This window comes from Homo sapiens, chromosome 9 (genome assembly GCF_000001405.40).
Source record: "Homo sapiens chromosome 9, GRCh38.p14 Primary Assembly".
Classification (NCBI taxonomy): Eukaryota; Metazoa; Chordata; class Mammalia; order Primates; family Hominidae; genus Homo; species Homo sapiens.
The window spans coordinates 35560942-35587537 of record NC_000009.12 but is presented as its reverse complement, the minus strand read 5'-3'; the positions used below and the strand labels follow the sequence as shown (position 1 = coordinate 35587537).

The window sequence follows — 26596 nt, the reverse complement described above, 5'->3', positions numbered from 1 at the left end:
TGTCTATTGAGATGACCATGTTTTATAAATTTGGGAACTCCAGTGTTAGGTGCATATATATTTAGAATTGTGATATTTTCCTGTTGGACTAGTTCTTTTATCATTATATAATGTTCCTCTTTGTCTTTTTAAATGGCTGTTGCTTTAAAGTTTGTTTTGTCTGATATAAGAATAGCTATTCCTGCTTGCTTTTGGTGTCCATTTGCATGGCATATCTTTTTCCACCCCTTTACCTTAAGTTTATGTGAATCCTGTGTACTAGGTGAGTCTCCTGAAGACAGCAGAAATTTGGTTGGTTAATTCTTATGCATTCTGCCATTCCGTATCTTTTAAGTGGAGCATTTAGGCCATTTACATTCAATGTTAGTATTGAGATATGAGGTACTAGTCTATTCGTCATGCCATTTTGCCTGAATACCTTTTTTTATTGTATTATTGTCATATAGGTCCTGTGAGATTTATGCTTTAAGGAGATTCTATTTTGGTGTATTTTAAGGATTTGTTTCAAGATTTAGAGACCCTTTTAGCAGTTCTTGTAGTGCTAGCTTGGTAGTGGCGAATTCTCTCAGCATTTGTTTGTCTGGAAGAGACTATCTTTCCTTCATTTATGAAGCTTAGTTTTGCTGGATACAGAATTCTTGGCTGATAATTGTTTTGTTTAAGGAGACTGAAAATAAGACCCCAATCCCTTCTAGATTGTAGGGGTTTCTGCTGAGAAATCTGCTGTTAATCTGATAGGTTTTCCTTTATAGTTTACCTGATGCTATTGCCTCACAGCTCTTAAGATTCTTTCCTTTGTCTTGACTTTAGATAACCTGATGACTATGTGCCTAGGTGATAGTCTTCATGCGATGAATTTCCCAGGTATTCCTTGAGCTTATTGTATTTGGATGTCTAGATCTCTAGCAAGGCCAGGGAAGTTTTCCTCAATTATTCCCTCCAATATGTTTTCCAAACTTGTAGTTTTTTGTTTTGTGTTATTTTGTTTTTGAGACGGAGGTTTGCTCTTGTTGCCCAGGCTGGAGTTCAGTGGTGTGATCTTGGCCCACTGCAACCTCTGCATCCCAGGTTCAAGCAGTTCTCCTGCCTCAGCCTCCCGAGTAGCTGGGATTACAGGCATGCACCACCACACCCAGCTAATTTTGTATTTTTAGTAGAGATGGGGTTTTACCATGTTGGTCAGGCTTGTCTGGAACTCCTGACCTCAGGTGATCCACTCGCCTTGGCCTCCCAAAGTGCTGAGATTACAGGTGTGAGCCACCACGCCTGGTCTCTAGAGGGTATTTAAACCCCAGAAAATTCTGTAACTGATGCTCTTGAGCCACTTGCTTGAGCCCACTCCTACCCTATGGGGTGTGCTTTTACTTAAAATAAGTTTCTGCTTTTACTGCCTTGCTTTGTGTGTTTTGTCTGATTATTTGTTCAAAACGCCAAGAACCTGGACAACTACCCTCAACCAGTAACACTATTGCTCATTTATTTCTGGTGTTCTTGGGTCTTACGGGGTTATAGACTGTGTGACTCCTGGAGGGGAAAGGGTGGCCAACATACAGTCACCTCTGTTTCATGTTTTTGATATACAAGGGAAAGCTATTCTTAAAAGAACAGGTGACTCCCCAGGGAGTCAGGAGTGGTTACAGGGCATGACTTCTTCCCACTCATGGCCACAAACAAAAACAAGCCCAGTTGGAGCACAAACAGGGTCCCTACGGGGTGCGATGCCTACCCTTTGCTGCCAAGTTGTGTCTATAGAGATATTTTTCCCTGTTCTAATTGGGGTGGTTGAACAATCTTTGTTTTCCAAAAGGGGAGGAGGTACTCCCACCTTCCCAGACTAAATAGTTGTTTTTCTCCCATGTGTTCCTTTTTTTTTTTCTCCTGTATGTTCTGATCCAGGGGAAGGAACCATAGATGGTCTCATTGCTTACAAGTTCTATCCCATTTACTTTGCTGTGGCATTGGGAACTTGGCAACTAAGGCTGGATCAGAGCATTGCAGGAAACTTGGCTTTTGTGTCATTAACACAACACTGGGTGCCAAAGATAGAATCATTAGTGCACTAGAAGTATAGATACCCAACTTTCCAGGTCCACATAATAGCAGTGAGGGGGTTCAGGTGGAACCCATTAAGTGGGGGAGAGTTCCATCTAACAAGTAATAGTCTGGGGAGAGGCAGTGAGATTTTTCCGGGTAGGCCTTATGGACTTGCTTTTTAATCAGCTGTAACTCTGCCTCAGCCTCCTTTGTTAATTGTTGAGGGCTAGTGAGACTAAGATCTCCTCTAAGGATAGAAAATAGATTACTCATGGCATAGGTAGGAATGCCTAGAGCAGGTTGTGTCCAATTAATGGTCTTTAGTCATTTTTGAAAGTCATTTAATGTTTTCAATTGATCTCTACGTATGGTTACTTTCTGTGGCACAATTGTAGTGTCATTTACTAAGGTCCCCAAGTAGGAGTAAGGAGTAGTAGTCTGAAATTTGTCAGGGGCTATAATTAAACTGGCAGGAAAAATCAAGTTTTGCAAGTGATCATAACATTGGAGTAATATTTCTCGAGTGGGGGCAGCACAAATTATATCTTCTATACAATGAGTAATGTAACACTGTGGAAATTTTTTACGAGTCGGTTCAATTGCTTGTCTTACATAAGTCTGGCAAATTGTTGGACTGTTCAACATGCCTTGAGGCAACACTTTCTAATGAAAATGCTTAGCAGGCTGCAGGTTGTTTACTGCAAGAATTGTAAATGCAAACCATTCAGTCTTGCTTAGCTAAGGGGATAGTAAAGAAACAGTCTTTTAAATCTATGACTATTAAAGACCAGTTTTTTGGAATCATAGCAGGAGAAGGCAGTCCTGGCTGTAATGTCCCCATAGGTTGTATAATTGAATTAATGGCCCTTAAGTCAGTTAACATTCTCCATTTACCTGATTTTTTCTTAATTATGAAAACTGGAGAATTCCAAGGGGAAAATGTTGGAGCTATGTGTTCTTTTTCTAATTGTTCAGTAACTAAGTCCTCTAAAGCCTCCAGTTTCTCTTTACTCAGTGGCCATTGTTCTATCCAAATTGGCTTATTCATTAACCATTTTAAAGGTATAGGTTCTGGAGGCTTAAAAATGGCCGCCATCAAAAATAATAATCTTAAACCTTGGTGGGAAATTTGTCTTTCCGCTTGAAGCGGTTCCTTCGAACTTTGCAAATTTTTTCCTAGTCCCGTACCAGGAACATACCCCATTTTATGCATCATATGTTGACTTTGAGGGCTGTATAATTGTTCTGGAATTAGAACTTGTGCTCCCCATTGTTGTAATAAATTTATAGGTACAGAAGTTATAATTGGTTGAATAGTCCAGGTTGTCCATTGGGCCCTTCACAATGCAAAATATAACTACTTTAATATACTTCAGGGGCTTTACCAACTCCAACTATGTTAAATTGAGCGGGTTGAATTGGCCACGTGGACGGCCAGTGCTGTAGATAAATGATTGAAACGTCCACTCCTGTATCTACCAAACCTTTAAATTTCTTTCCCTGAATAGTTATTTCACAGGTAGGATGTTTATCAGTAATTTGATTCACCCAATAAACTGCTTTGCCTTGTTTATTTGTGCTTCCAAATCCTCCTGTTCATTTAATTTCACTTTTCCCCATTTCTACATATGGCACAATCAGGAGTTGTGTTATATGCTGTCCTGGCTCTGCTTTCCAGGGAACAGAAGTAGATATAACAACGTGAATTTCCCCATTGTAATGTGAATCAGTGACTCCTGTTTGTACTTGCACTCCTTTTAAATTTAAACTAGACCTGTCTAGAAGTAATCCTATTGTCCCAGCTGGCAAGGGTCCACAGACCCCTGTTGGAACTTTTTTGCAGAGGTTCCCCAGGCAGAAGGCTCCACAGCTTTTGTGCAGCATAAATCTACTGCGGCACTACCGGCTGTGGCAGGGGACAGACATTGTATAGGGGTGAGGGAATGGCCTGAGCCGGAAATGCCCCGGTTTGGAACGGGCCTGGGACGGGCCCTGAACGGGCCCCTCATGGCATTTCCCGAAATTGGGTTTCCATCCTTATCAAATTTAGAATGATGCTGATTGGCCCAATGTTTTCCTTTTTTACACTTCAGGCATATACCTGGTTCATACTGATAGCCTGTTTAAACTCTTTAAGTAATTTAAAGAGAAAAGCCTCAAATATAGCTATAATATTTCTCTGTTGATCTGGGGGGTATATCCTAACAGGGAACTGCCAAGCCTCTATATCACCCTCTCCTTTTCTTTCTTTTTTTTTTTTTTTGAAACGGGTCTCACTCTGTCACACAGGCTGGAGTGCAGTGGCACGATCTCTGCTCACTGCAAGCTCTGCCTCCCAGGTTCATGCCGTTCTCCTGCCTCAGCCTCCCCAGTAGCTGGGACTACAGGAGCCCGCCACCATGCCCGGCTAATTTTTTTTGTATTTTTAGTAGAGACGGGGTTTCACTGTGTTAGCCAGGATGGTCTCGATCTCCTGACCTCGTGATCCGCCCACCTCAGCCTCCCAAAGTGCTGGGATTACAGGTGTGAGCCACCAGTTCCGGCCTATATCACCCTCTCTTCTAGCTTGCTGGATTCCTGCCTGAATAGAACTGACAGCAGTCACTCGAAGAGCTGCTCGAACAGTCACTGGGGCAACTACTTTTCGCCCAGTGTCCTCCGTAAAAGAAAGATCTGGAGGGTCAGGCTGCTCTTTTTCTTCAAAATAAGGAGGGAGTGCAGAAAGGTAGGGATGAACTCTTCCTCCTTTGCCTCTTTAGCTTTAGCTGGCAAACAAACCTGCTCTGTTACCTTTTCTGTTACTTTGTTATACTCTCCTTCCTCCTCATCATCAGTGTGAAAAGGTTCCAAGGTGGGACGAACCAGAGCCCACACTTGTCCCATTGTTACCCTGATGCTTCTGAGCTCCCCTTCTTACTCACTACAGGGATTGCTTAAGAGTACTTGGGTGTCCTCCAGCTTAGTTCCACATTCTCCAACCATTGCTCCGGCAACCCTTCGATCTGGGTTCGAGCCCCACTTGCTGAGACCAGCTCCGTCGTGGAGACCCTAACCCAGCCGTGCTGGAGGAATTAAAGACACACACACAGAAATATGTAGTGTGGAGTGGGAAATCAGGGGACTCAACAGCCTGCAGAGCTGAGAGCCCCAAACAGAGTTTGACCCACATATTTATTGACAGCAAGCCAGTGATAAGCATTATTTCTATAGATTATAGATTAACTAAAAGTATTCCTTACAGGAAACAAAGGGATGGGCCGAAACAAAGGAATGGGCTCTGGCTAGTTATCTGCAGCAGCAACATGTCCTTAAGGCACGGATCGCTCATGCTATTGCTTGTGGTTTAGGAACACCTTTAAGCAGTTTTCTGCCCTGTGTGGGCTAGGTGTTCCTTGCCTTCATTCCAGTAAATCCACAACCTTCAGTGTGGGTATCATGGCCATCACGAACATGTCACAGTGCTGCAGAGATTTTGTTTATGGCCAGTTTTGGGGTCAGTTTATGGCCAGATTTGGGGACCAGTTCCCAACACATGGCTGTAATCCCAGCTACTCAGGTGGCTGAGGCACAAGAATCACTTGAACCTGGGAAGAAGAGTTACAGTGAGCCAAGATTGCACCACTGCACTTTAGCCTGGGCAACAGAGTGAGACTCTGCCAAAACAAAACAAAACAAAACAAAGAGTACCTGAGACTGGGTAATTGTAAAGAAGAGAGTTCAATTGACTCACAGTTCCACGTGGTTGGGGAAGCCTTAGGAAACTTACAATCATGGCAGAAGGCAAAGGGGAAGTAAGGCACATCTTACATGGCAGGAGAGAGAGAGAGCGAGGGAGGAAGTGCTACACACTTTTAAATCATCAGATTTCATGAGAACTCACTATCGTGAGAACAGCCTGGGGGAAATCCGCCCCTAAGATTCAACCGTGTTTCTCCCCCAACATTGGAAATTATAATTCAATATGAGATTTGGGTGGAGATACAGAGCCAAACCATAGTATTCCGCCCTGGCCCCTCCCAAATCTCATGTCCTTCTCACATTTTGAAACACAATCATGCCTTCTCAATAGTCCCCCAGAGTCCTAACTCATTCCAGCATTAACCCAAAAGTTCAAGTCCAAAGTCTCATCTGAGACAAGGCAAGTCTGTTCTGCCTATGATCCTGTAAAATAAACAAGGTAGTTCCAAGATACAGTGGGGGTATAGGCATTGGGTAAATGCTCTTATTCCAAATGGTAGAAATTGGCCAAAACAGCCGAGTACAGTGGCTTACGCCTATAATCCTAGCACTTTTGGAGGCCAAGGTGGGTAGATCACTTGAGTCAGGAGTTTGAGACCAGCCTGGCCAACATGGTAAAACCATGTTTCTACTAAAAATATGAAAATTAGCCAGGAGTGGTGGCACACACCTGTATTCCTAGCTACTGGGGAGGCTCAGGCAGGAAGATCGCTTGAACCTGGGGGATAGAGGTGGCAGTGACCCGAGATGATGCCATTGGACTCCAGCCTGGGTGACAGAGTGAGACTTCATCTCAAAAAAAAACCAAAAATAACAACAACAACAACAAAAACACAAAGGGGCTACAGGCCCCATGCAAGTCCAAAACCCAGCAGAGCAATCATTAAATCTTAAAGCCCCCATATAATTTCCTTTGACTCCATGTCTCACATCCAGGGCATACTGATGCAAAAGGTGGGCTCCCAAGGCCTTCGACAGCTCCACCCCTGTGACTCTGCATGGTATGGCCCCTTGGGGGGCTTTCATGGGCTGGGATTGAGTGCCTGTGGCTTTTCCAGGCACATGGTGCAAGCTGTCAGTGGATCTACCATTCTGGAGTCTGGGGGACAGTGGCCCTCTTCTCACAGCTCCGCTAGGCAGTGCCCCAGTGGGGACTCTTGTGGGGGGGGGTGCTCCAACTTCACATTTCCTCTCCACATTGCCCTAGTAGTGATTCTCCATGAGTGCCCTCCACTGCAGCAGAATTCTGCCTGGACATCCAAGCATTTCCATACATCCTCTGAAAACTAGGTGGTGGCTTTCAAACTCTTGCCTTCTGTGCACCCACAGGTGCAACACCACATGGAAGCCACCAAGGCTTGGGGCTTGCACCCTCTGAGGCCACAGCCTGAGCTGTACCTTGGCCCCTTTGAGCCATGGCTGGAACTGAAGTGGCAGGGTACCATGTCCTGAGGCCGCACTGAGCAGTGGGGCCCTAGGCCCAGCCCATGAAACCATTTTTCTCTCTAGGCCTCTGGGCCTGTGATGAGAGAGGCTGCTGTGAACATCTCAGAAATGTCCTGGAGGCATTTTCCCCATTGTCTTAGTGATTAACATTTGGCTCTTCTCTACTTATGCAAATTTCTGCAGCCAGCAGCTTGAATTTCTCCCAAGAAAATGGGTTTTTCTTTTCTACCACATAATCAGGCTGCAAATTTTCTAAACTTTTATGCTCTGCTTCTCTTTTAAACATAAGTTCCAATTTCAGACCATCTCTTTGTGAACACATATGACTGTACACTGTTAGGAGCAGCCAGGTCACATCTTGAACACTTTCTTTCTTAGAAATTTCTTCCACCAGATATCCTAAATCATCTCTCTCAAGTTCAGAGTTCCACAGATTCCTTAGAGCAGAGGCACAATGCCACCTGTCTCTTTGCTAAAGCATAGCAAGAGTGACCTTTGCTCCAGTTCCCAATAAATTCCTCATCTCCATCTGATCATCTCCATCTGAGATTACCATCTCAGATTTCACCGTCCATATCACTATCAGCATTTTGGTCAAAACCATTCAACAAATCTCTAGGAAGTTCCAAACTTTTCCCACACCTCCCTGTCTTCTTCTGAGCCCTCTAAACTGTTCCAAACTCTGCCCATTACCCAGTTCTAAAGTCACTTCCACATTTTCAGGTATCTTTACCCTACTCTTGGTACCAATTTTCTGTGGTCTGTTTTCACAATGCTATAAAGAAACTACCTGAGACTGGGTAATTTATAAAGAAAAGAGATTTAATTGACTCACAGTTCCACATGGCTAGGGAGCCCTCAGTAAACTTACAATCATGGTGGAAGGCAAAGGGGAAGCAAGACACATCTTACAATGGTGGTATGAGAGTGAGTTAGCAAAGTGGGGAAGTGCTACACACTTTTAAACCACCAGATCTTGTGAGAACTGAGTCACTATGATGAGAACAGCATGGGGGAAATCCGCCTTCATGATTCAGTCACCTCCCATCAGGTCCCTCCCCCAATACTGGAAATTACAATTCAACCTGAGATTTGGGTGGGGACACAGAGTCAAACCATATCAGAAGGGTAGTGGGGAATTGCTGGGGGAGGGTGGGGATGGTGAATGGGTACAAAAATAGAATGAATTAGGCCCATTATTTGATAGCACAATGGGGTGACTATAGTCAATAATTTAATTGTATATTTTAAAATAAAGAGTGTAATTGGATTGTTTGTAGCTCAAAGGATGCTCGAGGGGATGGGGACCCCATTCTCCATGTTGTGCTTATTTCACATTGCATGCCTGTATCAAAACATCTCCTGTACCCCAGAAATATATACACCTACTATGTACCCACAAAAGTTAAAAAGAAATTCTGAAATGCCCATCAGACATTGGCATTCAATGGATGAGAACCATTCCACCATTTTAGGATTTTAAACCTCACATTAAGCTCACTATTTAAGCATGTATTCCATTCATATATACTTAACCTTTTTACTTTTAACAATTGTATCTAGCCCACCTCCCAGAACCAAGATACCATGCAAAGCTAGTCACCATTTAAAGCCATTTTAACCATTTTAAAGCCTATGAACATCAGTGATTTACCTATGTAAAAATTCTTAAATTTTAGAAGACACAACATCCTCTTCAAACTAATAAGCTTAGACTAGTCTTATTTATGAGTGCTTGTTTGTTTATAAGCCAATTTGATAGCATGCTAGACACAATGCTCATCACCATACCTGTATATACACCTAAACAAGCACATTAAATAAAACGACTTATATAAGACAGCTGGATTCAAGTTAGTTTCACAATTGGAACCCATCTACCTAGCCAAATGTTGTTTGCCCAGATAGGTTTGGAAGACAGGAAGAGGCAGGGAAGGGGATCCTATAGCATCAAATAAGGAAGGGAAGGTGCAACCTGCATTGCTCAAGGGGAGATTCTGGAGTCCCTGAGCTGCTGGAGAGCTCACCCAGCAGCCAAGACACCAAAGAGAAATGTTTGGGCAGCCACTTATCTGCCACTGTGGGAAGCTGTCAGTTAGGCCAAGGGGCTGAGAACTTTAGTAACCTTACTTGAGCAAGCAACTTGTTGGGGCTAGTGGAAGGTTAGCTCTACTATTGATAGGGAGCCTTTTCCTCTCTCACCGGGGATGGTTAGGATGCTGTGATTGCCAGTGGCCTTTTTGCTTATAGTAGGCACACTGATCGTGGCCCAGGGACCAGTGAGTCGAGGGATCTTTTCTGGGCATCCCAGATGCCGATCTCGCAACGCTTTCTTGGGATGGGTAATTCTGAGATGGCAGGGGGCTTAAAGTAACTGTTAACAATTGCACTTTTTGGCTCTTTCTTTTTTTCTTTTTTTTTTTTAACCTCTTTTGCTTCATCCCTATTGTCGTAAACTTTAAAGGCCGAATTTGAGTTGGCTCATAGGGATTTGAGGTCCCATTGCTGCTTTCTGTAGCTTCCTGCTAATGTCAGGGGCAGATAGAGTAATAAAATGTAACGCAGGAGAGCTTGCCCTTCTGGGGAGTCTGAATCTGCATTAGTATATTTCCTGAGTGCGTCAACAAAATGACCCTGAAGCAGAGTGGGATTTTTATCTTTTCGCTGAGTTATTTTTCTAACCTTGTCATCTTTAGCTGGCTTAACCACATACTTTTTTCTCCACTTTTTTTCCCCATGGCACAACAAGCAGATGACAATACTTGCAAGTCATGACAAATTAAATCAAAGAATGTGGTCAACTTAAACTCCTCTGAAAACTGGCCAAAGTTCTCCTTGTATAAAGCCAAATTAGACATAAAAAATGGCACATGCACTCCAGGTGTCCCCCCCATTTCCATGGGCTACCTCCCACAATGGACACAGTTTGACTTTAGGGGCAGTCCCACTCCTGGTGGTACTGGTTGGGCATACTTTCTTGGGCAGTTGGGGGTATAGGCTGAGGCTAATTGGAAAAGGGGGAGAGGTGCCTGATGACCTTGGGGTGGAGTCCTTTGTTAGAGAACTGGTGGGACCCGCCTCACAATTGGGAGACTGAGGAGATTCCAGGGAGGGCATAGACCTTCTAGGGGGAGCAGCTAGGAGGAGATCCCTTAGATGTGGCTTTCTGGTGCCTTAACTAATGTGAGCCAGTAAAGGGTCATAATAGCCCTTTACTGTACATAAGGGACCTCTTCCGATTTTCCTTCTTTTTTACAGAAAAAGTCCAACTGTAAAATATCATAGCATATAAAACCATGTTTAGGCCATATCTGTTGGTTTTATAGTTTGTATTGAACCCAAACGGTTTTGCAATAGAAAATGAATTTTTCTTTAAGCTGAATTAGCCTGAAGGGCGTCCTAATGGTGAGTTATCTGGAATACTCATCATTGTCCCCATGATTAACAAGGATTTTTATGCGCACAAATTTTTCTAAGCAAGAGGGAAAGTAACTAGGCCCTTGTTATTTTTCCCTTTTAGATTCCCACTCCCTGTAGAGAAGGTTTAAGTATAGGTAAGAAGGCATTACAAAAGTGGATTACAAGCCACAAAAGGGCAGTAGAATGTTGAGCTTAAATTCCACAGAGTGAGGGTTGTTCAGAGAAGGCGGCTAAACACATGGAGACTGTGGAAGAGAGGAAGGGAAGGGGATAAGCAGCGTTGCCTGAGGAGAGACCGCAGAGGCCCTGACTTGCCAGAGACCCTTCCCAGTAGTGGAGACACCAAAAAAAAAAAAATAATAATAATAATGTTCAGGTGGCCACTCGTCTACCGCTGTTGAGTGGTTGTCCATCAGGCCAGGGGCCTGGGAACTCCTGGTCCGTTTGATGTAGAGGGGCTTGAGCAAAGCAGTTCTAAGACAGAATACGGTAAGGGGCTTGCAACTGGCTGTCAGGAAAACAATAACTTCTAACTTCAGGGCAGAAAAAGTTGATACCAATATTCCCGTAGTGGGTGGGGCTATAACCTATAATCCTAGAGGGAATGTCAATCCTGAAAACCCCAGAGCATCTGGGAGTGGCCTATCATACCAATGCTGGAAACCCAGAGTGCCTGTTTCAGCCAATGAGGGTCCCCTCACCAAATGCCAAAAACCTGGGGGCACCAAGGGAGTGGCCAACAGTGAACCCAAGACCAAGTTGGGGTCATAGAACAATGTGACTCTGGTGTCCCAGAGTTGACGCAACAGAGCACAACTAAACATCCAGCCTTAAACAATTGCTCAAACACAGTTAACAGAAAGTCAAAAGGAAACATAACGCTTCAAATGAAACGTAAATTTTTGGACTCGAAATAAAAATAAAATGATTGGTGGAACAATAATATGGAGTCAGAGAAGAAAGCACAGGGGGGAGAGGTCACAAGGATGTGCCTCAGGGCACTCATACTGTGGGGGACTTTTAACCACTTAGCCGAAGGCTTTTTATTCCCCAGCTCACTAGATGTTATGGAGTAGGGGAAGAAGGGACACTTACCCATCCATAGGAGCCAAATGGCACCAGCCAGTCTTTCATGTGGGACCCTGGTGAAGGTCCCTCCAGGACCCCCCAGCTTGGGTGGGCTCAGCTGTCACACAGGGGGCAAGCATAGGGACTGGTAACCCACTGGCCTGCCATGGTCAGAGCTCACATGAGGCAGTGACATTATGGCCATTAGTGTGTCTGCTTGGCCCTGCCGCCTGCCAGGGAAAATGATGGCTCTGAAAAGAGCCTTTGGTTAGTGTTAGCAGCTCTTTATTGTTACAGCCTCAGTGTTATAGCTCTTGCAGCCTTGATCACAGACCGCTTTGCGGTCTCTCGCTGTCTCTGCTTGGTCTTGTCAGTCTCTCACTGTCTTCCCAGTTGCTGTCTCTCATAGTCGTCACCTCTCCACTGACCGCTGATTGCCACCGTCTCTGCTGTCCCACCATCTCACCTGTCTGCTGACTGCCACTGTCTCCACTGACTTGCTGCCTCTTGCTCATTATCTTTTTCCTTTCATTGATCACCAGATGATGGGAGGGCAGGTGAGCCCCCAAATTGGGGCTTAGCCTTGGGAGGTTCTTAGCTTTGCCCAGGAAAGAAAATCCAAGGATGAGCCAGTGGTGTTAGACAGCAACTTTTATTGAAGCAGCAGTGTATACTTAAAAAATTTGGTAACAGAGTACATCTTTCTTTTCCCATTATGCTCTTCCAAGATCCTAATAAACCTGCAGAGGTACTGGTCCTTGTGGAGCAGGGCTGTCCTATAGGCTGTATGCTCAGAGCAGCAGCTCAGAGGCAGTGCTGCATTCAGATTTATACCCACTTTTAACTACATGCAAATTAAGGGGTGGACTATGCAGTAATTTCTGTATGTAAAGGGTGGTAACTTCCAGTTCATTGGGTCATTGCTGTGGAAAGGGGTGGTAACTTCTGGGTGTTGTCATGGCAATGGTAAACTGACATAGCACACTGGTGGCCATGTCATATGGAAAACCACTTCTGCCCCATCCCTGTTTTAGCTAGTCCTCAATTTGGTCCGCTGCTGAGCCCTGCCTCTGGAGTCCAGTCCCACCTCCTACCTCATTATCTTGATAGTATTTCAGACTACTCAGGTAGAGTGAATTCCATCTGCAAATCACGCATGAGCCAGCTTGTAGTTATGAAGTTTTAGGGGAAATATGTCCCCCTTTTTCACTTGGTACCAAGTTTTGAGATAGGCAATTTTCTTTGTAGTCCCCTGAGGAAGGATTTGGGGGGCAGATGGATTTCTAGGGGCAAGGTGGGGTGCGGTGACTCATGTGTATAATCCCAGCACTTTGGGAGGCCAAGACAGGCGGGTCACTTGAGGTCAGGAGTTTGAGACCAGCCTGGCCAACATGGTGAAAGTTAGTCTCTACTAAAGTAAATACAAAAATTAGCTGGGTGTAGTGGCGGCGCCTGTAATCCCAGCTACTGAGGTGGCTGAAGCATGAGAATTGCTTGAACCCAGGAGGCGGAGGTTGCAGTGAGCCGAGATTGCACCACTGCCCTCCAGCCTGGGTGACCGAATGAGACTCCATCTCAAAGAAAAAGAAAAAAAAGACTAAAGGGACATAACTTGATGCATGCCAGTTTTATGCAGGAAAAATTTTCTGTTAGACTCTCCATCTTGGGTGGTCACTGAGTTTTATCTCCTTTTCTCAGTACTTCATGAACCTGTGAAAATGAACCTCCAAGTTTGTGTGGCTTGGCCAATGCCATTAAGCCAAAAGTGCCTTCTATCCTTTGCCTAGTTTTTGGCCTCTGATGATTTCCCTTTTTAAAAAATCACTTTATTGACATACAGAAAGTTGTACAGCAGGTTCTCAAATGATGTTTCACTCACTGTTGTTACTTTATAACATTGATATGAAAAAATATTTTATTTTTATCATTTTTTAAACTTTTTATTTTTATAGAGACCGGGTCTCTGTCACCCAGACTGCAGTGTGGCGGTGTGATCATAGCTCACTTACAGCCTCAAACTCCTGGGCTCAAACGGTCCTCCCACCTCAGCCTCCTGAGTAGCTGGGACTACAGGTGTGTACCACCTTGCCTGGCTAATTAGTCCAGATAATTAATTTTAATTAAATTAATTTTTTAAATTTTATTTTTTATTTTTGTAGAGAGGGGGGTCTCCCCGTCTTGCCTAGGCTGGTCTTGAACCCCTGGGCTCAAGTGATCCTTCCACCTCAGCCTCGTAAAGTATGGGGATTACAGGCGTGAGCCGTTGCACCTGGCCAGGGGAAAAAAAGGTTGATTCAGGCCAGGACCACTGTCTATATGGAGTTTGCATGCTCTCCTCATGTACGGTAAACTCTCGTACCCATCATTTCACATCATTTCTCTGAAAGTTGCAATTTCCAAGAACCTATTGACAATACTGAGGACTTACAATACATATTTAGTGTATACAGCTTGAACTTGGAGGTAAGTATAGAACCATGAAACCAGCGCTATAGTCAATGCCGTAAACATATCCATCATCTCCAAAAGTTTCCTCCTGCCCAATTTATTTAGTGATAAGAACACTTAATATAAGATCTACCATCTTATGGTTTATTAGTATCTTAGAAGAGCATAATGGAAAAAAAATCTACCCTGTTAGCAAATTTTTAAATATACATTTTTCAGTATAATTTAAAAAAAATTTTATAATAATACAATATTATTAACTATAGGCTCTAAGCACAATGTTGTGCAGTAGATGTCTAGGACCTACTCCTCTTGTATAACCAAAACTTTGCACCCTTTGATGAATACCTCCCCCTTTCTGTCTCTCCATAGCTTCTGGTAATGGCCATTCTGCTCTGCTTCTATGAGTTCGACCTTTTTTTTTTTTTTTTCCTTTGAGACAGTGTCTCACTCTGTCACCCAGGCTGGAGTGCAGTGGCATGGTCTCGGCTCACTGCAACTTCCACCTCCCAGGTTCATGCAATTCTCCTGCCTCAGCCTCCCCAGTAGCTGAGATTACAGACATGTGCCACCACCCCTAGCTAATTTTTGCATTTTTAGTAGAGATAGAGTTTCACCATGTTGGCCAGGCTGGTCTTGAACTCCTGACCTCAAATGTTCCGCCTGCCTTGGCCTCCCACACTGCTGGGATTACAGGCATGAGCCACCACACCTGTCCTTACGTTTTATTGTTTTTGTTTTGTGTTATTTTTGAGGGGAAGGTATGTTCTTGAAGACTCCTTTCTTTGTGAGAGCTGCAACACCTCACATGACCTATGTAATATATAGTTGATTGCTGCAGATAATCTTCTGAACTATCTGCCATAATGCTGGAAGTGGAAGTCCTCCAGTGTGTCATCTAACTGGTAATGCTGCCTAATAAAGCTATTGATATTTGAATATATTTTTCAGGTAATAAGCATCTTACAGTACTCTTATTAGTTCTCATTGTTCTTCAGTTGCTTCTCAGGATTTTGTAGTTAGGCCGATGATGATTCTTTTCTTTCTTTCTAATATTTATGGTTCTTATTAATTATTTTTGTTTTATGCATTGTCTATAGTAACTTTGAATAGTAAAGGTGATAATGAGCATTCTTGTCTTGGTTCTGACTTTTATAAAGTGAAGGACTATGAATCCGACATGCTGGCATTCATCTTATGCCCATGGCAAACAAACATAGTTAATCCTTCTTAGTACCTTTTCCTGCTAAGCTATGGCCCTGTTTCAGAAGCTCCCCAGTAACATTCCCATAAGTGACTATAGCTGATTTGATTTGGTACAACAGATAAGATTTATTTCCCAGTCCTCTCTCTGATGTTTCTTCTGGATATAGTTTGATATTGGCTATTCATTTCAAATATTCTTTATCATGTTTATATTCCTGGTTTACTAAAAGTCCTTTTTAAGGAGAATCACAAGTAGATATTTAGTTTTATAAAATACCTTTCCAATATCTGCCAGGGTGATCAAATGGCTTTTATATCCTTTGGTTTATCATATGTTAATTGCACTAAGAAATTTTCTAGTTTAATCACTGTGGTAGTTCTGGAATAAATCCTACTAGTCTCTTTTTTTTTTTTTTTTTTTGAGGGTCTCTCTCTGTTTCCCAGACTGGAATGCAGTAGCACAATCATGGCTCACTGCAGCTTTGACCTCCTGGGCTCAAGCAATCCTCCCACCTCAGCCTCCTGAGTAGCTGGGACTGCAGGAATGTACCACCACATCTGGCTAATTTTTTATTTTTAGTAGAGACAAGGTCTCACTGTGTTGCCCAGGCTGATCTCAAATTCCTGGGCTCAAGTGATCCTCCTGCCTTGGCCTCCCAAAATGCTGGGATTACGGGCATGAGCTACCACACTTGGCTCTACTAGTCTTAATGTATATTATTCTTTTACAATATTACTAGACTTGTGTAGTTCATACTATGTGCCAGACACTTGTGCTTGATGCTGAGGATATAATCATGAACAAGATAGACAGACATGGTTTCTGCCCTTACTGAGCTGTCAGTCAATTCAGGGGTGATAAAGAGCAGAACATTTGCCACCACTCCCCTCATCTGAAGCTTTGGCAGAAATCACTCAAAACATGCTGTCTTGCAGAGTCTTGGAAGATCTCAGAAAGGGGACTGGGATCCTTTATTGGCATCTGCTATGAATTGGAGGAAAGATGACAGTGATAGTAAGCATCCTGCTTTTTTGCTGTTGCTAGTTTGATGTTTTATTTGGTGGCATTTTTTATCTGTAGAACTTGTGTGAGGTTTGTTAGGTATTGAATTTGTTGTCTTGAATTAAGTTTTTGCTAATTTTGTAAATCAAGTGGCGTGTGGGTCTTTTGGTAGGGGCATCTACTTGACCACTTTTTCCATTCTTTCTTTTTCTTTTTGAGACAGGGTTTCCGTCACCCAGGCTGGAGTGCAGTGATGCAATCATGGCTCACTGCAGCCTCAGCTTCCTGGGCCGAGGTGATTTTCTCACCTCAGCATCCTGAGTAGCTAGGACTACACGCCACCATGCCTGGCTGATTTTTTAAAAATTTTTTGTAGAGATGAAGTCTTACTATGTTGCCCAGGCTGGTCTAGAACTCCTGGGCTCAAGCAATCCTGAACCTTGGCCTCCGAAAATGCTGGGATTACAGATGTGAGTCACTGCACCTGGCCCAATTCTTTCTATTGTTATTTTATTCAGATGTTCCATCATTTTGAGTTGATTTTGATTTATATTTTCCAAGACAATATTCATTCTTATTGACATTTTCTAGTTTATTTATATAGAGTTTCACTAGTATTCTTTTGTAGTTAAAACACAAATTCCTGGCTGGGCGCGGTGGCTCATGCCTGTAATCCCAGCACTTTGGGAGGCCGAAGCAGGTGGATCACGAAGTCAAGAGATCAAGACCATCCTGGCCAACATAGTGAAACCCTGTCTCTACTAAAAATACAAAAATTAGCTGGGCGTGGTGGCGCATACCTGTAATTCTAGCTACTTGGGAGGCTGAGGCAGGAGAATTGCTTGAACCCCGGAGGCGGAGGTTGCAGTGAGCCGAGATTGCGCCACTGCACTCCAGCCTGGCGACAGAGCGAGACTCCATCTCAAAAACAAAAACAAAACAAAAAAACCCCCCACAAATTCCTATGTGCCTGTTTTTAGCCACTTCCTCAATCTGTTAGGGGTGTTGTATAGTCTTTCTCTTGGCTAACTTTGCCAGCAGTTTGCTTGTTTTGTTGTTGTTTTAAACAACTCTTATAACAGTTCAATTGTTTTTCTGTTTTCTGATTTATTGGTTTCTATCAGTTTCATTCTCCTATATTTGTTAGCTTTATGACGTTCTTCTTTTTCTAGCCTTTTGAATTGACTGCTTAGTTATTAGCTAGTTAATTTAGTTAGCTGGCTAGTTGCTTTTAGACTCATTTGCCTGGCTAGTCTGTCTGCAGCCTGTCCTGCTGAAGCCATCATGGTCTGCACACATGCCCTCCTCCCTCCCCAGCTGCCTGGTTGAGGTGGTGGCCTCTGCATCTGCAGTGAGGCCAGGCCGAGAGAGATGAGTGAGGTCAGGATGGTGATGCTCACCTGTGTCTGTTTCTCTTTCCTTCTGGGACGCATGGGAGACTATACTTCTGAGTTGCAAAATGTGAACAACTGGTAAGTCAGGTAAAAGTGACATTTGTCTTGCAACTTTTCTATAGGTTTGATATCGAAACTCTGGGTAATTCTGCAGCACACTCTGCTTAAGCAATCACTGTTGTAGAGATGATGGGGGATGTGGGGTGTAGAAATTTCCTGATGAACACATGCATACCAGAGTTATCAGGGAGTAGAAACTAATAGTGACAAGTCCATTTGGAAAAGGGAGCGAGAGAGACAGATAGAGACAGACGGAGTTGAGCAGATGTGCAGAGAGAAGCACCTGGCCCCAGGGTGAGAGTGAAAATAGCTGCCTCAGCTCCTGTTCACTTTCACGTTCTCAATTCCCGTTTCACGAGGCCTAGCTATATGGCAGTCTGTACAGTATACAGTTCCTTCCTTGGATACTCAGGAAATCTATCCATTCTTAAGATATCCTCTCTTCCTTCCACTCTTGGCTTTCTTCTTTTACTTGGACCAGCCAAGGTAGGCAATTGTTTCTTAGAGCAGCTCCCACTAGAACATTTGTTAGTAATGATATTGATAGTTTATTTATTATTGTGCTTTATTGTACCGTTTAAGTTAATCCTTACACTATTAGCATTTTCATTTTATAGAGGAGGGAAAAAGAGATACAGAGAGGTTTGCTAACTTGCCCAAGGTTGTACAGCTCATAAGTGATGGAGCCAGGATCAAGCCTATATATATATATATATTTTTTTTTTTTTTTTTTTTAATTTTTTGAGACAGAATCTCTCTCTGTCGCCCAGGCTGGAGTGCAGTGGTGCGATCTCAGCTCACTACAAGCTCCACCTCCCTGGTTCACGCCATTCTCCTGCCTCAGCCTCCCCAGTAACTGGGACTACAGGCGCCTGCCACCACGCCCAGCTAATTTTTTATATTTTTAGTAGAGACGGAGTTTCACCGTGTTAGCCAGGACGGTCTTGATCTGACCTTGTGATCCACCTGCCTCGGCTTCCCAAAGTGCTGGGATTACAGGTGTGAGCCACCACACCCAGCAGGATCAAGTCTATATTCTTAATCATGAGGCCAGTATGTGTTTGAGGCTAAAAGTTGCCTCTGAATTCATCTTTGATTGAATTCTCATTTATTTATAAATAATTGTGTATAACTGGAATTTTTTCTTTGCCCCAAGGGTTAAGGTGTTTTTGTTTTTTTTTTAATTTTAATTTTTATTTCTTTAAGAGACAGGGTCTCACTGTGTTGCCTGGGCTGGAGTGCAGTGGCTATTCACAGATGTGATCATAGCGCCGCCCTACAGCTTCAAATTTCTGGGCTCAAGCCATCCTCCCGCCTCAGCTTCCCAAGCAGCTGGGATTACAGGAATGCACCACCACGCCCAGCTCAAGGGAGTATTTTTAAATGTCTAAGTGTTAGGTTGGTTGTTTGTTTAGCCTATTTTAAAATTTTAAAATTGTGTTTGTGTGAGGAAATGTGGTTTATTGTGCTTCTTGGAATTTTTGAGATTTTTCTTCATGGCCTATTATAAGATCAGTTGTTTTTGTTTAGATCTTCATTGTGGTATTTATTTTATTCTGCCTTTCTCTGTACCTCTGTCTCTTCTTTAAAGTGGTTCGATCACTGAGGTCAGGCATTGTCTGTATTGATCTATAAGGCAACTGCCTAGTAGAAATATTTAATAAGTAGGCTGAATAAATGAATATTGATCCTTGTGGATTTGAGGAGTGTTATATACATAAAAAATCCAGGCCAGGTGCGGTGGCTCACGCCTGTAATTCCAGCACTTTGGGAGGCTGAGGAGGGTGGATCGCTTTAACCCAGGAGTTCAAGACCAGCTTGGACATGGTGAAACCCTATCTCTATAAAAAAAAAAAAATACAAAAATTAGCCGGGTGTGGTGGCATGCACCTGTAGTCCCAGCTACTCTGGAGGCTGAGGTGGGAGGATCACTTGAGCCCAGGAAGCGAAGGTTGTAGTGAGCTGAGATTATGCCACTGCACTCCAGCTTAGGTGACAGAGTGAGACCCTATCTCAAAAAAAGAAAAAAACCAAAAAGGTAGAAAAAGGTAGAATAGAGACCAGGCCATTTCCTTTCCTTCGATCCCTCCAAATACCATGATTCCTTGTCATTTCTACTTGGATTCCCTCCACCACACCTCTTTGGACCTCAAAAGCATAGATTTCAATTGTCATAATCTTTGGTTTGGCACATTCTCATCATTAGTTCATACTTTGTTATAATGTATGCATTATAAGCATTTTTTTTTTTTTGATACAGAGTCATGCTCTGTCACCCAGGCTGGAGTGCAGTGGCATGATCTCGGCTCACTGCAACCTCTGCCTCCTGGTTCAAGTGATTCTTCTGCCTCAGCCTCCCAAGTAGCTGGGATTACAGGTGTGTGCCACCACACCTGGCTAATTTTTGTATGTTTAGTAGAGATGGGGTTTTGCCATATTGGCCAGGCTGGTCTCGAATTCCTGACCTCAAGTAATCTGCCCACCTTGGCCTCCCCAGGTGTTGGGATTACAGGCATGAGACACTGCACCTGGCCCATTATAAGCATTTTTGAAAACATCATCCCAAACAAAAACTGAAACTTTGACAATAACATACATCTAACTATGTGGTTCCCCCTTTCCCACCCCTTTTGTTTCTCACCATCTGAGGTGAGCATTTGAAACCCATTTTTATCATTCCCTTGCTTTCCTTTTTATGCAGTTTTATGCATCTGCATGTATTTTTCAAACTAAAAAAGGTTTTGTGTTGCATGTAATCTTTTGGAGTTTATTCAATTCTTGTTTCAATTTTGGTGGACTGTTGATTTCAGGAATTTTTTCAAAGGTCCTGTGATTTTCTTTTATTCATCCTTGCAGAGGGGATTTATGCTTGCCTAGGGTTGACATACAATCAAATGATTGATTTGGGATCTGTATGAAATTTTATAGCAGTTCCTGGTCAGAATCAAAGGCAGAACAGAAGGCTATAGGCTGCCATTGTGGGGACCCAGCAGGCTGTGTGGACTGAGTGGGGCGCTGTCTCCAGTTAAACATTTTCTCTCCACTGCCACATCCAACACTGGCCACTGGGTGTGGCAGCTCCCATCAGAGCAAGTTGTGGTCATGTTTCTGTGATGTCTGTCCCTGGAAGGAGGCACAGAGGCAGCAAGCATTCCTGTGGTGCCTCAGCTGGCCCCGTCACTCCTTTCTCAGATTAGAACACCCTTCAGGGATCTAGAAATATTCTTTATTCAGATGGAAACAATCATAGTAACAGGCCATTCTACCAATTGGATAGAGCTGTTTCTTCATAAGCCATAAACCTAAGACTAATCCTAATCTGTTTCCTAACTTGTGTTTTAACGCATACCCGGATTCTAACTGCCATGGTCTTTTCTGCAGAATGTGTTCTAGTCCCTACATCCTAATTTATACCCCAACTTCCATTCAAACCTTTCCCTTTTTCAATTTCATGAACCTTTCCCCTGAACCTCTAACATCTGTGACTGCTCCCAGCTCCTTTCCTTCCTCCCATTCCTGCCAAATGCTAGCCGTGAATTGCTGTTTAGTTAGCACTTACCGTAAGCTAGACGCTGGGGTCATTGCTCATTGTGTATCATCTCAGCTAGCTGATATCCTACTCTATGAGATGGTAACATTAGTTTTTCCATTTTACAGATGAGAAAACTGAGGCTCAATGAGATGAATTTGGACAAAGTCTATATCTCTGGTGAAGCTAGGATTTGATCTAGTGGTGTTTTTTTGTTTTGTTTTGTTTTTGAGACGGAGTCTCACTCTGTTGCCCAAGCTGGAGTGCAATGTGCGATCTCAGCTCACTGCAAGCTCCACCTCCTGGGTTCATGTGATTCTCCTGCCTCAACCTCCTGAGTAGCTGGGACTACAGGTGCCCACCACCACGCTTGGCTAATTTTTGTATTTTTAGTAGAGACAGGATTTCACTATGTTGGCCAGGCTGGTCTCGAACTCATGACCTTGTGATCCTCCTGCCTCGGCCTCCCAAAGTGCTGGGATTAAGGGTGTGAGCCACCGTGCCTGGCTGTTTTGTTTTTTAAAGTTATGATGCCTTTGGCTGTAAGTGAAAGAAAACTTAAAGTGGCCTTAATAATGAAATTTACTATTTGACATAAAAAGGCTGATTAATTCCATGGCTCTACATTACCCTCAGGACCCTGGCCTTTCTCCTCTACCATCCATCCTTGATGTGTCCAGGACTTGTCTTCAGGTTAGCTTTCCACAAGGCTTCCACATGCCTGCCAGCATTCCAGCCTCACATCCCCCAAAAGTCTAGGGGCAGGAATGGACATCGTTTCGTCTTGCGCATCTCTGTCTCTCTCACTTGCTCTAATTTGATGTGAATCTTTTCTTTAAGAGCAAAGAAACTTTTCCCAGGACCCTCCCCTGCCCCAGCAGATTTCCCCTCATATTATCCAGAATGCTGGAAGCCCGTGCCTAAGCGGTCATGGGGAAGGAGCATGGGACCACGCTTAGACTAATCCAGCTCATTCCTCCAGGCTGGCTCTCCAAGCCTCCCTGATGCAGTTTCTGGCTCCTCGGAAGAAAGGAGATGGGGGTCAGGAATAGGTATAAGCTGTGATAGTGTCTGTCACAGAATCCCAAGTCTGGTTGTTAAGCTTGACACACTGCTGCTATTCTGGGCTTGCCCCTCGGCTCCCATCCTCACTCTAACATATTTCCTCAGCTGTGAGGTAAGTCCCCACAACTCTAAATGACACATTCTAAGGCTGTCCTTGGCAGAACAGTGAGGAACATGAAATGTGTGCCTTGGAGCCCAGTGCTCTTATGTAATTCCCCTGGGATGTCAGTGCCGTCCTTGGTCAGCGCAGGCATGGTCACTGGAGGTGGGGAGAAGAGCAGAGCTCTGCCTCAGAAACGTGGGCCCTGAGCCCTCAGCCTGGCCCTGACCCAGCCCCAGAACTTTTTGTTTTGTTTTGTTTTTTGAGGTGGGGTCTGGCTGTGTTGCCCAGTTTGGACTGAAACTCCCGGACCCAAGTGATCCTCCCACCTCAGCCTCCTCAGTACGTTGATGTGAGCGTGGCTGCACCCGGCCCAGAGTTGGGTTTTAAACATGTTTCCCCGTCCTCTGAGATCTCATCTTCCTGGTCTGTGCTTTTTCTTCTCTTAGAATCCGAATTTTTTATTTTATTTTATTTTTTTAACAAATTCTAACTTGCTCCCTAGTGTTACCGCCCACACCTACAACAACTTTATCCTGTTTCCTTCCCTCAACCCCCACAGCTTTTCTGGCTCCCATGGAGTGCACACTCGGCCACTGTGGCCGGAGCCTGGCAGAGCCTGGCTCATTTGTTGAATGGATGACTCTGATTATAGCAGGTATTCAGTAAGCCACTCTTGTTAAATTATTGAAAATAAACGATGTTACTCCCTAGAGGTGTCTAGGTTCCTTTTTTTCCCCCATCACCTGTCCTCTTTCACCTCCCCTCTGGGCCCTGGCTTCCCTCAAAGATCCTTTCTCCAGGTCCCCCATCTCCTTTGATGAAGACTCATGAGGAACACAGTGTCCACCTCTCAGGCAGGCGCTCAGGAAGGAAGTCGCTGAGACAGAGCTCAGTGGCCCGAATGGTTTCTGCTCCCTCACCTCCCACGTCCCACCTCCCACGTCCCACCTCAGGGCTTCCTTCGGTTCGGGCCCTGCCCCACGAGCAGGACCACCTTTGTCCTGGACAGACAGACCTGCTAGCCTCTGCTCTACAGTTCTGCCGGCCTTCGCCCTGGCTGTCCTCACACGAGTGCCCCCTCCCTTCTCTCCTCCCTTAGCCCCGCCTCCTTCCTCTAGCCCCACAGCCCTGGACACGGTACACACAGACCAGAGCCTTGGCTCAAAGGCAAACAAAAGGAAATGCCCGGCTCCCCATGGCTGTGGCCAGCACCTTCATACCAGGGCTCAACCCTCAGAACCCTCATTATATCCCAGGGTAAGACTCCCACTTAGCGCTCCCCGCTTGCTGCTGGGAGTAGGGGTATAGGGTGGAGGAATTAAGCTGCTTAGAGCATGGGGCCAAGCGGACAGGTTGGTTTGGGAGGCTGAGGTCTCTATGGTGGTGGATGGAAAAGGAGAAGCAAGGGACTAGTGAGACACCGGGTCTGCCCCAAAGCTTTGTGTTGTTCTCTCCATGGGAACAGGGTAACAGCAGAGGAAGGATCGAAAGCCCAGGCAGAGAACTTAGAAATGCCTGCTCCAAATATATACACTGCTGAGTCCAGAAAGATCAGGGCTTCAGAGGTCTCCGCTTCTGCCTCTGGGGATGGCGGGGCAGGGCGATTCTGGTGAGTGGGAGAGTCTGTGCTGCAGGTACACTGGACACTGCCCACTACTTCGGTTCAGCGTGGGCCAGACCTATGGGCAGGTGACTGGTCAGCTACTTCGAGGCCCTCCTGGCCTAGCCTGGCCCCCTGTCCACCGCACACTTCTGCCTCCCATTCGGCCTCCAAGATCTCCTGAGGTTCCCAGGGAGAGTCTACCTGTCAGGCGTGGGCAAGAAAGGCTCAGCTCCAGCATGATCCCTGGGTACACAGGTTTGTACGCAGGTATGCACAGGTGCCCCTCCCAGGAGCATGTGTTCCAAACACTAACGAGTCTTCCTTGTCCCTGCCTGCCCAGGTTTTGTACCCCGGGCACAGTTCATCTTTGCCAAGAACTGCAGCCAGGTCTGGGCCGAGGCTCTGAGTGACTTTACTCACTTGCATGAAAAGCAAGGGAGTGAAGAGCTACCAAAGGAGGCCAAGGGAAGAAAGGACACAGAGAAGGACCAGGTGCCAGAGCCGGAGGGGCAGCTGGAGGAGCCGACACTGGAGGTGGTGGAACAAGTGAGACCAAGAAGCTGGTGGGGAGTGCAGAGGTGTGGGAGTGGGGGTCTTACTGTGTGTCCGGGCAGTGGGGGCAGCATGAGTAGTGTGGCTGTGGGTTCAGGGGATGTGCACTTGATTGTCAGCTCCACCTCCTTGGGAGATTGTGTGACAGCACAGGGGCTTCTCTCACAGGCTTCTCCCTACTCCATGGATGACAGGGACCCTCGGAAGTTCTTCATGTCAGGTGAGAGCTGGGGGGTCAGGATCAGAGGCGTGGGGAGGCCCCAGGATGCCTTGGCTCAGTGTCCCCATCCTCAGGCTTCACTGGCTATGTGCCCTGCGCCCGCTTCCTCTTCGGCTCCAGCTTTCCTGTGCTCACCAACCAGGCACTGCAGGAATTTGGGCAGAAGCACTCACCAGGCAGTGCCCAGGACCCCAAACATCTCCCCCCACTTCCCAGAACATACCCTCAGAACCTGGGTCTTTTACCTAACTATGGGGGCTACGTGCCAGGTGAGAAGAGCCCCCGGGGAGGCTTTGGGGACTGGAATGTTTGTTTGTATGGGTATGGGGTGGGTTGGGTGGTTTGTGGGGGTTGAAACTAATAGATATGGGAGGGCTCAGATCATGTGGTTCAGCTTTATTATCAGGCAGAAAAGGAAACCGAGGTAGCTACCCACAGTGGGGAATTAGGGCCAGATTTTAGAGGGCTGTTTGGAGGTCTAGCCAACTGGCTGAGAATTAAATGGCTTTGCCATGCCACTTGCTACATGTGACAGACTCTCTTGGCCACACAGGGTATAAGTTCCAGTTTGGCCACACATTTGGCCATCTCACCCATGATGCTCTGGGCCTCAGCACCTTCCAGAAGCAGCTCTTGGCTTAGGCCACTGGACATCAAGTTCCCTTCCCTTTTCATCCTATCCCAGCCATCCTTTTGGAAGGGAGAGAGGTGGGTGGGAGGGTGGGAGGGTGGGGGAACACAAAGAGAAAATGGTTTGGAGGCTGAGCACCTTTTTTATTAATAGGTATAATAAATAAATAAATAAATACATAAACAGACGCCTGGGCTCCTCCTCCCTCTTCTGATGACCAGGCACTGGCCACAGCCTATTTACAGCTGGGGGGCTTAGGGATCTGGCCCCAATACTGTTACCCATCCTCATCTCCACCTGGCCTAGGGAACCCTGTAGATGGCTTTCTGGGCCACCCGCCTCCAGGGGGACTTGCTTGTCTTCACCCATGGAAGGGTTGGCCCAGACGGGCCAGGGGAATCCTGGCAGCCCAGTGCTGTGTCCCATCCCTCTCCTGGGTGGAGGTCTGGACAAGGTCACTGGGACAGTTAAGGGGGCGTAATTAATACTGAGCACAGGGAGCAGGTGCCAGCACAGGGATACGTGGCCCCAGCTCTCAGTCTACTCTGCAGCCAAGCCAATGGCTTGGGAAGGGCTCTCGGGCTCTGAGTCTGGGGGTTATGAGGGTCCCTGAGGCCACCAGCATGCACAGGGCCTCAGTTTTGGCTGCTTCCAGGGGTTGGACTTGGAGTTGGGGTCAATGTCACGTAGGCCAGGGGCACCAGGCCAGAGTCGGGGCCACGGCTGCAGCGCAGCCAGTCTCCTCCAGCTCGCCCCAGCACTCGTAGGATGTCTCCTTTGTGGAAGCTCAGCTGTCCAGGGCCGGTGGCCAGGTGGTGGCACAGTGCCTGCACCTCACTGGGGAAACAGCACATGGAGGTCAGAGAAACCCCCTCAAAAGCCCCCCGCCCCCCTCAGCCCTTCCGTTTCCCCAGGCTTACCACGGAGGACTGGAGGGCAGGGCTGGGGAGTGTGGCTCCTGCAGGCTCTCCTTGGGCTCTGGCTCCCGGCGGGAACCCACTGTCTGCGCCACTAGTTGGAACATGGACTTGTCCAGGCTCAGCCAGTCCGAGGGGAGCCTAGGGACAGCAGCTGGA

General features: G+C 45.5%; 2 protein-coding genes across 11 annotated transcripts in view, besides 2 other annotated features; one reads left to right on the top strand and one right to left on the bottom strand.

Moving 5' to 3' along the window:
* Window positions 17906-18065: an enhancer, noted in NCBI's record as "active region_28325". NCBI's record gives its function as "activates an Ori minimal core promoter by ATAC-STARR-seq in GM12878 lymphoblastoid cells {active_cell/tissue: GM12878}" and the evidence as "EXISTENCE:reporter gene assay evidence [ECO:0000049][PMID:35858748]".
* CIMIP2B (ciliary microtubule inner protein 2B) lies at window positions 23660-25707 on the top strand. 5 transcript variants are annotated; one of them, NM_001099951.4, is made up of 6 exons: window positions 23660-23771; window positions 24149-24372; window positions 24458-24663; window positions 24838-24889; window positions 25032-25158; window positions 25443-25707. In NM_001099951.4, the coding sequence occupies exons 1-5, from the start codon at window positions 23710-23712 to the stop codon at window positions 25136-25138; spliced, it is 651 nt and encodes a 216-aa protein (NP_001093421.1). In that variant the 5' UTR covers window positions 23660-23709; the 3' UTR covers window positions 25139-25158; window positions 25443-25707. The 5 variants fall into 5 exon arrangements, with proteins under 5 accessions (NP_001093421.1, NP_001274168.1, NP_001157782.1 ...); NM_001287239.2 differs by having other exon boundaries at window positions 25010-25158; NM_001164310.3 differs by having other exon boundaries at window positions 24964-25158.
* The window catches only part of RUSC2 (RUN and SH3 domain containing 2), a 71785-nt gene continuing 70831 nt past the window's right edge, over window positions 25643-26596 (bottom strand). For all 6 annotated transcript variants that reach the window (NR_052015.4, XM_047424207.1, NM_014806.5 and 3 more), the window contains 2 exons: window positions 26441-26578; window positions 25643-26357 (listed from right to left, as the gene is read on the bottom strand). Coding sequence is in view for 5 of the 6 variants with exons in the window: in XM_047424207.1 (XP_047280163.1) it covers window positions 26156-26357; window positions 26441-26578 (340 nt within the window). In the remaining variant the exon portion in view is untranslated. The remainder of the gene's footprint in view (window positions 26358-26440; window positions 26579-26596) is intronic.
* Window positions 26303-26495: a silencer, noted in NCBI's record as "fragment chr9:35561040-35561232 (GRCh37/hg19 assembly coordinates)". NCBI's record gives its function as "represses an EF-1alpha promoter that drives an FKBP-Casp9 reporter gene in an ReSE screen in HepG2 liver carcinoma cells {active_cell/tissue: HepG2}" and the evidence as "EXISTENCE:reporter gene assay evidence [ECO:0000049][PMID:32094911]".